The sequence below is a fragment of the Homo sapiens genome, chromosome 3 (assembly GCF_000001405.40).
Source record: "Homo sapiens chromosome 3, GRCh38.p14 Primary Assembly".
Lineage (NCBI taxonomy): Eukaryota > Metazoa > Chordata > Mammalia > Primates > Hominidae > Homo > Homo sapiens.
In genome coordinates, this window is record NC_000003.12 from 136,009,904 (window position 1) to 136,023,278 (window position 13,375).

Below are 13,375 nucleotides of genomic sequence, written 5' to 3' on the forward strand. Positions count from 1 at the left end.
GAACTTGGCTACAGAAGATCACACAACCATGCTGAGTGGTCTTGCTTTAAATTCATGACCACCAACCTCCAGTGGGTCTTTAGTACTGTGTGGCAGTCCTACTGTGTTTCCCTAGTCCATTCACTTTCCACTCTGCAGGTGCCTTTTTCCCTGTCTTCTAACCTCCAGCATCTTTCCCATCCTCACCCTCAGCTAATCTTGTTTCCTATTTTACTGAGACAACTAAAGCAATCAGAAGAGACCTTTATCCATCTCCTACCCATATCAGTACTAAATATCTTCTCCCTTTCCTTCTATTTCTATTATTTCTATACATGAACCATCCAAGCTCCTGTCTTTTTCTTTTCTTTCTTTCTTTTTTTTTTTTTTTTTTGAGGTGGAGTCTCACTCTATTGCCCAGGCTGGAGTGCAGTGGTGTGATCTTGGCTCACTGTAACCTCTGCCTCCCTCGATTCTCCTGCCTCAGCCTCCCGAGCAGCTGGGACTACAGGCGCATGCCATCACGCTCGGCTAATTTTTTTTTTTTTTTTTTTTTTTTTTTGAGACGGAGTCTCGCTCTGTCGCCCAGGCTGGAGTGCAGTGGCGGGATCTCGGCTCACTGCAAGCTCCGCCTCCCGGGTTCACACCATACTCCTGCCTCAGCCTCCCAAGTAGCTGGGACTACAGGCGCCCGCCACTACGCCCGGCTAATTTTTTGTATTTTTAGTAGAGACGGAGTTTCACCATGTTGGTCAGGCTGGTCTTGAACTCCTGAGCTTGTGATCCGCCCACCTCGGCCTCCCAGAGTGCTGGGATTACAGGCGTGAGCCACCGCGCCCATCCCCAAACTCCTGTCTAAGGCCAGACCTACACTGGGGCTTTATTAATAGATACCATCCCCTCCCATCAACTCACAAACACTCCTGCAGAGATTGACCCATTTCTCCCCTGCAGTCATCAGTTTTTCTCCTCTGCTCAATCACTCCTTCAGCAGATAAACATGCTACAATTCTCCCAGCTTTAAAACAAAACAGACCCCTAGTGCTCCAACATACCAGTTGAGTTAACACTCATTTGTCTGCTCTTCTTCACTCCAGGGCTCTCTGAAAGAGCTGTTATTATTGTTTCCAGTTCCTCCTCTAGCCCTCCTCTTTCTAAATATACCAGACATATTCCCATTTGCTGTTCCTTCTTCCTACAACACCCCCACCCCATACCTGCAGGACTCACTCCATCACCACATCCGTCTTTGTAAAAATATCACTTCACTGAGGCCTTTTTGCCCTAAAAATTTCATGCACACATACAATCTTTGGCATTCCCTTTCCCCCTCTACTGTTTTTTTTTCCCCTAACACTTATCACCCCCTGATATATTATTTCAATTACTGTTTCTTTTTCTCCACTGACTCCTACCACTAGAATGAAACCTCTATGAGAACAGGGAATTTTATCTGTTACATTCACTGCTATATCCCTGGTAGCTGGCACTCAGTGTTCAATTGATATTTGTTAGTAATTGTCACTTTGTATAGGGACTTTTGTTTCTATGTTATATTTCTGTAGTATTTAAATTTTTCCTTACAACCAACCTTATCCTTTTGTAAGAAGAAAAAAATAATAAAGGTAATTTTTCTAAATTCTCTTAGATACCCTAAGAGATTCCACTATTTTAGCCAGGCTTGAGCCCCTGAAACCAGGCTTCCCAATATGATCATCTTCAGAAATTGGATAAAATTACGTGTGTAAACTGATCACTTCAGAAGCTCTATTATACCATATCTTGCAGTCCTTCATAAGAACTGGGAATTACATAGAGATCTTTGAATCAGTCATCTCCCTTGAGATTGCCAGCAAACCGTAACTAGTCTAGCCTTGGTCTGAGGAGTTATTCTGTCATCCCCTCTCATGGATCTACTTTTGGAGACCACAGTTAAGGTGTTTACCCTGGGAGGTGCTTTGGCATCCAAGAGACGTATTTGTCGTACTTCCAGCATAATGCTCATTGTCACCAGCGTCCTTGACTATCAGTTCCAAGCTCCTGTTTTGACATCTGTGAGTTCAACTCCCACCCACAATTACTGAGAAATCATACACACACACACACACACATACACACACACACACACACACTCTCCACCAAGGAAGACACTGGGGCAGAGTATTTTATAGCACCAGTCACCAGGCATTTATTTAACATGGCAGTGTCAGTGAAATAGAATCCCTTCATTTCTTTTTTCTCCAACATATTTATAGGCCAAAAATGAATTATTATGGTCTGTAATGAGCAATCTCTAATTGAATTAATTCCTCAAGGAGAGAGGGAAGAAAAAAAGCAGACTAAGAAGTACAGAGAACTCTAGACACTAGAAATTCTAGGGATCCCAGAATTATTATTCCTGATCATTTTAGGCTCTAATTCTTCCTTGCTGCCCCAGATCCTAGAACAACATCTACCCCAAGTATTAGGAACACTGAAAAGCAAAAACACCAGATTTTGTGGGTTCTTTCTGTTATTAGTCATAGAATGTGTTCCCATAATTTGGAGGCAATTGGAGCAAGACACAAAAATGCTTATTAGGTTTCCTCTATCATACACATGCTTTCCTATTTTGCTGCAGCCAGTGAAGTCAAGGCTAGAGAATTAGGCTGGGAACAAATAAACTATAGATAACTACCACTACCTGGCCTCCTTTCCCCCACCAGTGTTTCATTATTTAAGAGTGAAAAAAAAAATAGTAACACAGAACAAGCCACTAAATAATGAAGAAAACACCAAGTTAGAGCAGAAAGGTTATGAAATCTAGTATTAACTAATTAGCTTATAATCAGTTGGCTCTCATAAGGCCTATTTACAGGGATATTTTAAAGAAAGTCTGTGATTCCAAGCTGTTAACCCTTTTGATTTATTTTCTATTTATTTTTATTTCAATAGGTTTTGGGGGCACAGGTGGTATTTGATTACATGGATAAGTTCTTTAGTGGTGATTTCTGAGATTTTGGTGCACCCATCACCTGAGAAGTGTATACTGTGCCTAATGTATAGTCTTTTATCCCTCACCCCCTTCCCACCCTTCCTCCCAAGTCCCCGAAGTCCATTCTGTCATTCTTATGCCTTTGCATCCTCATAGCTTAGCTCTAGCTTATAAGTGAGAACATACGAGTTTGGCTTTCCATTCCTGAGTTACTTCACCTACAATAGTAGTCTCCAATTCCATCCAGGTTTCTGCGAATGCCATTATTTCATTAGTTTTTATGGCTGAATAGTATTCCATGGTGTGTGTGTGTGTGTGTGTGTGTGTATGTATGTATGTATGTATGTATGTATGTATGTATGTATGTATGTATCACATTTTGTTTATCCACTCATTGATTGATGAGCATTTGGGCTGGTTCCATAGTTTTGCAATTGCAAATTGTGCTGCTATAAACGTGAGTGTGCAAGTATCTTTTTCATATAATGACTTCTCTTCCTCTGGGTAGATACCCAGTAGTGGGATTGCTGGATCAAATGGTAGATCTACTTTCAGTTCTTTAAGGAATTTTCATACTGTTTTCCAGATTGATTGTACTAGTTTACATTCCCACCAGCAGTGTAAAAATGTTCCCTTATCACCACCATGCCAATATCTACTATTTTTTGATTTTTTAAATTATGGCCATTCTTGCAGGAGTAAGGTGGTATCGCATTGTGGTTTTGATTTGCATTTTGCTGATCGTTAGTGATGTTGAGCATTTTTTCATATATTTGTTGGCCATTTGTACGTCTTCTTTTAAGACTTGTCTTATTTGTGTCCTTAGCCCACTTTCTGATGGGATTGTTTGGTTTTTTCTTGCTGATTTGTTTTGAGTTCTGTGTAGATTCTGGATATTAGTCCTTTGTCAGATGCATAGTTTACAAAGATTTTCTTCCACGCTGTGGTTTGTTATTTCTTTTGCTGTGCAGAAGCTTTTTAGTTTAAGTAAGTCCCATCTATTTATCTCTGTTTCTGTTGCATTTGCTTTTGGGTCCTTGGTCATGAAGTCTTCACCTAAGCCGATGTCTAGAAGGGTTTTTCCGATGTTGTCTTCTAGAGTTTTTATGGTTTCAGGTCTTAGATTTAAGTCCTTGATCCATCTTGAGTTGATTTTTGTGTAAGATGAGAAATGAGGATCCAGCTTCATTCTTCTGCATGTGATTTGCCAGTTATTCCAGCACTATTTGTTGAATAGGGTGTCCTTTCCCCACTTTATGTTTTTATTTGCCTTGTCAAGGATCAGTTGGTTGTAAGTATTTGGCTTTATTTCTGGGTTCTCCATTCTGTTCCATTGGTCTATGTGCCTATTTTGGTGACTATAGCGATATAGTATAGTTTGAAGTCAGGTAATGTGATGCCTCCAGATTTGTTCTTTTGCTTAGTCTTGCTTTGGCTATGTGGGCTCTTTTTTGGTTCCATATAAATTTCAGGATTGTTTTTTCTAGTTTTGTGAAGAGGGATGGTGGTATTTTGACTGGAATTGCATTGAATATGTAGATTGCTTTTGGCAGAATGGTCATTTTCACAATATTGATCCTACCCACCCATCCATGAGCATGCGATATGTTTCCATTTGTTTATGTCATCTATGATTTTTTTGGCAGTGTTTTGTGGTTTTCCTTGCAGAGGTCTTTCACCTCCTCGGTTAGGTATATTCTTATGTATTTTATTTATTTTGTTTTTTTACAGTTATTGTAAAAGGGGTTGAGTTCTTGATTTGATTCTCAGCTTGGTCTCAGTTGGTGTATAGCAGTGCTACTGATTTGTGTACTTTGATTTTATATCCTGAAACTTGACTGAATTCCTTTATCAGATCTAGGAGCTTTTGGATGAGTCTTTAGGGTTTTCCAGGTATATGATCATATCAGCAAACAGCGACAGTTTGACTTCTTCTTTACCTATTTGGATGCCCTTTATTTCTTTCTCTTGCCTGATTGCTCTGACTAGGACTTCCAGTACTATGTTGAATAGAAGTGGTGAAAGTGGGCATCCTTGTCTTGTTCCACTGCTCAGGGGGAGTCCTTTCAACTTTTCCTTGTTCAGTATAATGTTGGCTATGGGTTTGTCATAGATAGCTTTTATTACCTTAAGGTATATCCCTTCTATGCCGATTTTGCTGAGGTTTTAATCATAAAGGGATGCTGGATTTTGTCAAATGCTTTTCCCGCATCTATTTGAAATGATCATGTGATTTTTGTTTTTTATTCTTTTTCTGTGGTGTATCACATTTATTGACTTGTGTATATTAAGTAATCCCTGCATCCCTGGTATGAAACCCACTTGATCATGGTGGATTATCTTTTTAATAGGCTGTTGGATTCAGTTAGCTAGTATTTTGTTGAAGATTTTTGCATCTATGTTCACCAGAGATATTGGTCTGTAGTTTTTTTATGTCCTTTCCTGGTTTTGATATTAGGGTGATACTGGCTTCATAGAATGATTTAGGGAGGATTCCCTCTTTCTCTATATTTTGGAATAGTTTCAATAGGATTGGTACCAATTCTTTGAATGTCTGATAGAATTCAGCTGTGAATCCATCTGGTCCTGGACTTTTTTTTGTTGGCAATTTTTTTTTATTACCATTTCACTCTCTCTGCTTGTTATTGGTCTGTTGAGCTTCTGTTTCTTCCTAGTTTAATCTAGGAGGGTTGTATATTTCCAGGAATTTATCCATCTCTTCTAGGTTTTTCAGTTTGCGTGCATGAAGGTGTTCATAGTAGCCTTGAATGATCTTTTGTATTTTTGTGGTATCAGTTGTAATATTTCCTGTTTCATTTCTAATTGAGCTTATTTGGATCGTCTCTCTTCTTTTCTCGGTTAATCTCTCTAATGGTCTATCAATTTTGTTTATATTTTCAAAGAACCAGCTTTTTGTTTCATTTCTCTTTTGCATTTTTTGTTGTTGTTTGAATTTCATTTAGTTCTGCTCTGATCTTTGTTATTTCTTTTCTTTTGCTAGGTTTGGGTTTGGTTTGTTGTTGTTTCTCTAGTTCCTTGCGGTATGACCTTAGATTGTCTATTTGTGGTCTTTCAGACTTTTTGATGCAGGCATTTAATGCTATGAACTTTAATCTTAGCACCACTTTTGCTGTATCCCCGAGGTTTTGATAGGTTGTGTCACTATTATTGTCTGGCTCAAAGAATTTTTTAATTTCCATCTTGATTTCATTGTTGACTCAACAATCATTCAGAAGCAGATTATTTAATTTCCATGTATTTGCATGGTTTTGAGGGTTCCTTTTGGAGTCGATTTCCAATTTTATTCCACTTTGGTCTGAGAAAGTACTTGATATAATTTCAGTTTTCTTAAGTTACTGAGACTTGTTTTGTGGCCTATCATATGGTCTGTCTTGGAGAATGTTCCATGTGCTGATGAACAGAATGTATATTCTGCAGTTGTTGGGTAGAATATTCTATAAGTATCCATTTAGTCCATTTGTTCTAGGGTATAGTTTAAGTCCATTGTTTGTTTGTTGACCTCCTGATGTGATGACCTGTCTAGTGCATTCAGTGCAGTATTAAAGTCCCCCACTATTATTGTGTTGCTATCTGTCTCCTTTCTTAGGTCTAGTAGTAATTGTTTTATAAATTTGGGAGCTCCAGTGTCAGGTGCATATATATTTAGGATTGTGATATTTTCCACTAGTCCTTTTATCATTATATAATGTCCCTCTTTGTCTTTTTTAACTGTTGTCGCTTTAAAGTCTGTTTTATCTGATATAAGAATAGCTACTCCTGCTCACTTTTGGTGTCCATTTGCATGGATTATCTTTTTCCACCCCTTTACCTTAAGTCTCTGTGAGTCCTTATACGTTAGGTGAGTCTCTTAAAGACAGCAGATACTTGGTTGGTAAATTCTTATCCATTCTACCATTCTGCATCTTTTAAGTGGAGCATTTAGGCCATTTACATTCAACATTACTATTGCCATGTGAGGTACTATTCTATTCATCATATTAGTTGTTGCCTGAATACCTTGGGGGTTTTTTCATTGTGTTATTATTTTATATGCCGTGTGAAATGTATGCTTTAAGGAGGTTCTATTTTGGTGTATTTCGAGGTTTTGTTTCAAGATTTAGAACTTGTTTTAGCAGTTCTTGTAATGCAGGCTTGGTAGTGGTGAATTCTCTCAGCATTGGTTTGTCTGAAAAAGACTTTATCTTTCTTTCATTTATGAAGCTTAGTTTAGTTGGATACAAAATTCTTGGTTGATAATTGTTTGTTTAAGGAGGCTAAAGATATGACCCCAATCCCTTCTAGCTAGTAGGGTTTCTGCTGAGAAATCTGCTGTTAATCTGAGAGGTTTTTCTTTAAAAGTTACCTGATGCTTTTACCTCACAGCTCTTAGGATTTTTTCCTTCATGTTGACTTTAGATAACCTGATGACTGTGCCTAGGCGATGATCTTTTTGCAATGAATTTCTCAGGTGATTTGGATATCTAGATCTCTAGCAACGCCAGGGAAGTTTTCCTTGATTATTCACTCTGTTATTACCTTTTTAAACTACTCAGCCTGTTAGAACTACAACATGAGAAGGCTTTTTAAAAATTGAGATAAAATTCATTTTCTGGACATTTGGGTTGTTTCCACTTTTTGGCAATTATGAATGATGCAGCTGTGAACATTTGTGTATAAGTTTTTGTGTGGACAAGGACAGGCTGTTAACGTATTTAGATTTTTCCAAACAGCTGGCTGGCTTTTGTTAATCAGAAGCACCCTCATGATATACCAGGACCTCCACTTTGATATGTAACTTTTTTTCTGTAGCATCTTCTGAGCAAAATCCTTTGGTGTCACTTCAGAGTGACTCTCTGTCTTTGGTGTCACTTCAGAGTGACTATGCTATCTTTCTGGACCTGCTTCTAACACTAACCTCAATACAGGTCCTCACTTAGCTGAGCTGATTTCCCAGCCTCACTGTGCTATGTTTCTGTCATCCAGATTTTTATAGCTTTGCTGCCTGCATTATTCCAACTGCCTTTCCTACTCTAAGGCCTTAGCTGATGCTATCATCTCAGTCTCCATAACCACATTCAGCTGAGACTGTTGAATGGATTTACATGTTTATATATAAAATAAAGGGCTAGGCCAGGCACAGTGGCTCACACCTGTAATCCCAGCACTTTGAGAGGCTGAGGTGGGCAGATTGCTTGAGCCCAGGAGTTCAGGACCAGCCTGGGCAACATGGCGAAACCCTGTCTCTACTAAAAATACAAAAATTAGCTGGGCACAGTGCCATGTGCCTGTAGTCCCAGCTACTCAGCAGGCTGATGTGGGAGAATAGTTTGAGCCAGGGAGGTGGAGGTTGCAGTGAGCCAAGATCATGCCACTGCACTCCAGCCTGGACAACAGAGGAAGACCCTGTCTCAAAAAAATAAAGGGGTAGACTTACTTTGGTACAACACATTGCATATATAATACTGTTTTTTAACAGTTATACACAAATCAAAATAAGAGACTTCTTCAGACAAATGTTCAAAATTATTTTCTTTGTCCTGTGTAATCAACCCATTTTTTCTTAAAACATCCCATGTAGCTGATTTCCCCAGAAAAAAAGAATATTATAAATCACTATTGTCTTCGTTTTCAAAGGGGGAAGGGCAAGGAATAATAAGAGGGTTCAGAAAGTTCTAAGAAATCTGTCTTGGATTTCAAACTAAGCCTAACAGAATGAATTGTATAAATACAGAATGTGTTGTGTTTCACAGTTTTATTCTCTGTTTCCTACCCAATCTCACCTTCCTTCAGGGTACATTTTAAACTTATTCCTCAGTTTTGTAGGTCCTTTCAGTATAGGGTAAGGGAGCATCTTTTCTCGCTTGGGATATTAGAGGCTATCCTAAAAAAGAAAAAAAATATTTAGTTTTTAGGGTCATAGTGGAGAGGCCAGCTTCTCTTCCATATAACTCTGCCAGAGGGAACCTGTAAAACTCATGCCCAGCAGCCTATCCTACCCGGTTCTTTTTGAGAAAGACTGTCTCCCTTGCCCAGGCATGCTTGTTCTGGAGAAAGATATATGGAATGGTAAGGCAGGAAAGGAACCCCAGACCCAGACCAAGACAGCTGGATCTCAAATTAACAACTGATGTGTTCCAGCCACCCCCACAGCAGAGAGCACCAGTCTTTTGCCTAATGAAGCTCTCTTATCGTTGTCATCCTGAAGACTCAGATTGAGCACATGGTCCAGATAGGACTGCCTGTGTCTTCAGACAGGGAAAGTTCATGAGTGATCTGCAGGCCAAGAAGAGATGCAGGCAGCTGTGCAGGAAGTTCCTACTGGTGGTAATCAGCTAGCTTGTTAGGATGGACTTAATTATATGCTGCAGGGAGCAGGAGAAAATATTTTTTAGTTTATTCCAGAAAGACATTTGGAAAACTTTTACAGTGGCTCTTTCCATTGTAACTGCACACAGCTCCTAATTTTCCACGTGCTCAAACTTAATTTATAACCTATGTGTTTATGATTCTCTATTTTTCCTCATTCTGGTTAGTTCCTCCAGGAGAAATCTGTCACCCCAAAACAGCTTTTCTCTTATAATTCCCAGCCCCATAGATTGTACATTCCCTTGTCATCAAAGCAGAGAGAGAAGAGAGTAGATCACAGATCATATATTTCTCTGTAGTGAAATTCCCCTATGTTTGATCTTTTCCTGGAAAGTCACTCTAAAAACCATATTCTTTGGTGCTATATTCCAGTTGTCATGAACTCCTTGAAACTAACTCGTGTTCTCAGATCCTCTCAGAAACCAAGCATATATACTAATACTTCCATTCAAACACAAGTAAATAAGTAAAAAGCAAATAAACCAACTTCATGCTAGTCTTCCTCTGTCAATAACTCATTGCCACAGACCAGTTCTTTTCTAAGCCCTTTAGGGATCCTGGTCTTTTTGCCTCTGAATTTTTTGGAAAACATTTTGATATATCAAAACTTACCAATTATTTCCTCATCAAAAGACATGAAGAAATATTTTCTTGCTTAAGGGTATAACAACAGGGCAGGCTTTTAACCACTGTTCTGACTTTGAAACTTAGCAGATTTATAGGAAGTAAATGAAATGAAAATATTTCTTGTCCTTTGCTCCAAACCAACATTGTGCTAGAAAGCACAGTAAGAAAGAGACCACATCTTTATCATCTCTCTAGCTTCATATCAAGCAAAGTGTCTGGCATATAAGTGATTATATATAAAAATATTTGTTGAGTAATTGAATGACTATAAAATTAAAATCTAAACTCTTGTCCTCAAGAGTTTAGACACTACTGGAAAATAATGATCAAGTTACAAAATATTACAGTAGAAGCCCTTTTACCTGAACATGATTGAGTTTGATAGTAGGGAATCATAAACTATATGTGTGTGTACTATAAAATGTCTATATAAACATTTTAACTCAGGCATTAATTTATTCTGATGTCTTTTGATAGAGGGTCAAAGCCTTTTTTCTGAGAATGAGTCTCATACATATTTAGAGTTCTGTGACATATTTCTTTGATAAATCACACTCATAATAGGTTTGTTGTCTGATTTGTAGTTTTAGTTTCTTTAGAGAGAGAACATAGTAGTAAAGCAATTTGAATGTAGACACCTTCTAAACTTCAGTGATTTTTCTCTTTCATCCCACCCTTACCTAATTTTACAGCAAAATCTTTTTAGTAGTTTACTTTTACTAAAACTTAGGGTTTTTTTTTAATTTTAGAACAGCTTTTCTTTTCCACGCTTATATTTTGTTAGTTTATGTAATGAATTGAATAATTACTGTGAAAAGTATAACCAGCATAAACAGACTGAGGACAAATGCAGCTGACTCTTAGTAAACACACAACCCAACTACTAAGGTAAGAAATATGAGAGTGTAAGAGAAACTATTAGCCACAAATCTGTGTGTGATGGGCATTAGTTGCTCTGTTTCAGAGGAGAAATGGAGAGCTTTGGCTAAATAAGATAATATGTTAAGTGGAGTTCCTTTGAGAGACGTTACATAGTATTTCACTAAGTGCTGTATATATAAAGTTAAGAATTACAGTAAGGGGACTTAAATAAACAGGAAGCCTTCATGAAATAGCTAAATTTTGAGATGGATCTTGAAAGATGATTAGAATGTATAATTTGAGGAAAGGGAGCATTCTCAGGAAAGGAATGAACCTACTCACCTACAGCCACAGGTTGGTGTTGGGAAGGAGAGGAAATTTAAGGTGTGGTTTAATAGAATAAGCATTAAATTGTAAGTCTAAAGGCCTAGTTGCATTCCTACAAACCTTTTTGACATTTTATTTAGGAGATAAATAATGAGGGAGAAAAAGAGTATTCTAGTCGGGAGTGTAAGGAAAAAATATGGGAAAGCTACCCACCTCAAAGAATTAACATGGAAGCCCAGTGAGAGAGAAAATTGAGAAAATAAGGAACGACTCAGGATGAAGCATAAGACCAGTGGTTTTCAGTTGTAATCCTCTTTCAATCATAGTACGTATCAAAAGCTTTCAGATAAAATTTGATGTGAACAGAAGACTCTGCCACTTAAAAGAAATTCTTTAAAACACAGCTTTAGACATATAAGCCTAATGTATACATTAGAAAGAGTTGTCAGAATGTCTTGAAAAGAAATCAGTGGGAAAAAGCAGACTTAAATTTGTAGGAAACAGTGGAAAACCAAAGAATTTAATTCCCACTAAATTAGACAAAGGTTCAGTAAAAGAGGGTTGTAAGCTATTTTTTTGTTTTAATAATGTTTGGTGTATATTTTCTAGACATAGAAAAATATTGAATGATGTGGTTGATTGAAAATAAATATTGAAATCTAAATATAAAATGTGAGAAAACAGCCCTCTGTATCAATGTGTTCTACATCTAGTTGGAAAATATTTGGGGAAAAAAGTATGGTTGCATATGTATTGAATATGTACAGACTTTTTTTTCTTGTCATTATTTCCTAAACAATAGAGTATAACAGCTATTTACATAATACTTATATTGTATTAAGTATTACAAGTAATCTAGAAATGCTTTAAAGTATATGGGAGAATGTGAGTAGGTTGTATGCAAATATTACACATTTTATGTAAGAGACTTGAGCAGCTGTGGATTTTGGTCCGTGGAGGGTCCTGGAACCAATCCCCACAGTTACCAAAGGATGACTTTACTTTATGATTCACTTACAAATAACTATATGAGGCAGATATTTAATATATGATGAAATAATAGGTATTTTAAAAATCTTAACTGATTAAAGCTTCTCAAAGGAAGAAAACTTACAAATTCAGTATGTAGTATGTCATTGCTGTTTGATCATCTTTTGTCCTTTTTTTAGCCAAATTTCACTTGCTTATATGTATCTAAAACTTTTCTATGGCATTCAGTTGTTCTACTTTCTTAATACTTCCAAGAACAAATTTTCAAATATGTTCATCATCAGTTCAAGAAAATGTTTGATAACTATGATAGTCTTTTGCTTTAAAAAATTTTACATCTGAGATCAACAGATCTTTTTGTAAATTCCCATTTGAGAATGAAAGTTTCTGTTTTTCCTCTTGTTTTGACTAGAGAGATCTGGAAAGATTTGGGTATTTACTTCCCTTCAAATAAAAAATAAAAAACTATTCTTAATAGTTTCAAATTCGAAGTTCAGTAGCCTGTTCTTTTTTTTATAAAATATTAAAGAGAAAAAGCCGAAAATGTTCTACATACTCTTTTTCTTCTAGTTTGAGAAGAAACTGCTTTATGTGGATTGACACCTCACATACCCTGAGTTTAAGAAGTTAGCATTATCTGAGAAGGTACTATTTTTAGGTCCAGCTGTAATGTTTCTAACTTTGGTACACAGAGTAGTGGGTGCTCCCTTTCCCAGAAGGCTCCATATTCTCAACATGTGCAGGTCAATTTGACATAAAGCTACCAACAAGGAGCAACAGGCCCACTGCAGGCTGTGTTTATAACTTGAAAATTATGAGCAGGTATTGGGAGCCACAGACTGTATTTGGGAACCAGCTGCATGTCAGGACAAGCATAGATTGTGGTCTGTGGAGGCTGGGAGAGCACAATGCTTGAATTTCATTTCTTTGGGAGATAAGAAGAAAAAATACCTTCCTACCTGACAAGATTGACAACTTGCTAAATCTGATTATCTTCAGAAGTGTGCTGGACAGTTGCGAAGTAAACATTTACTTTTCAAAGATGATGATCAAGGAAACATCTCTACGAAGGGACCCGGATTTAAGGGGAGAGCTAGCTTTCCTGGCAAGGGGCTGTGATTTTGTTCTCCCTTCACGGTTTAAGAAGCGGCTGAAGTCATTTCAGCAGACACAGGTTTGAAATTTGGGTGTTTTGTTTTGTTTTGTTTTGTTTTGTTTTGAAAATATTTTTATTACTAATAAAACCATCCA

The 13,375-nt window shown here is 37.4% G+C and overlaps 1 protein-coding gene across 9 annotated transcripts in view; it reads left to right on the forward strand.

Moving 5' to 3' along the window:
• The window catches only part of PPP2R3A (protein phosphatase 2 regulatory subunit B''alpha), a 182,167-nt gene that overhangs the window by 44,176 nt on the left and 124,616 nt on the right, over positions 1-13,375 (forward strand). The window contains exon 1 of one of the 9 annotated variants that reach the window (NM_181897.3): positions 12,839-13,298. The exons of the other annotated variants lie outside the window; for them this stretch is intronic. Within the exon in view, the coding sequence (NP_871626.1) occupies positions 13,167-13,298 (132 nt within the window). The 5' untranslated portion in view covers positions 12,839-13,166. Of the gene's footprint in view, positions 1-12,838; positions 13,299-13,375 lie in introns of those variants that run through there. 9 annotated transcript variants of the gene reach the window in all.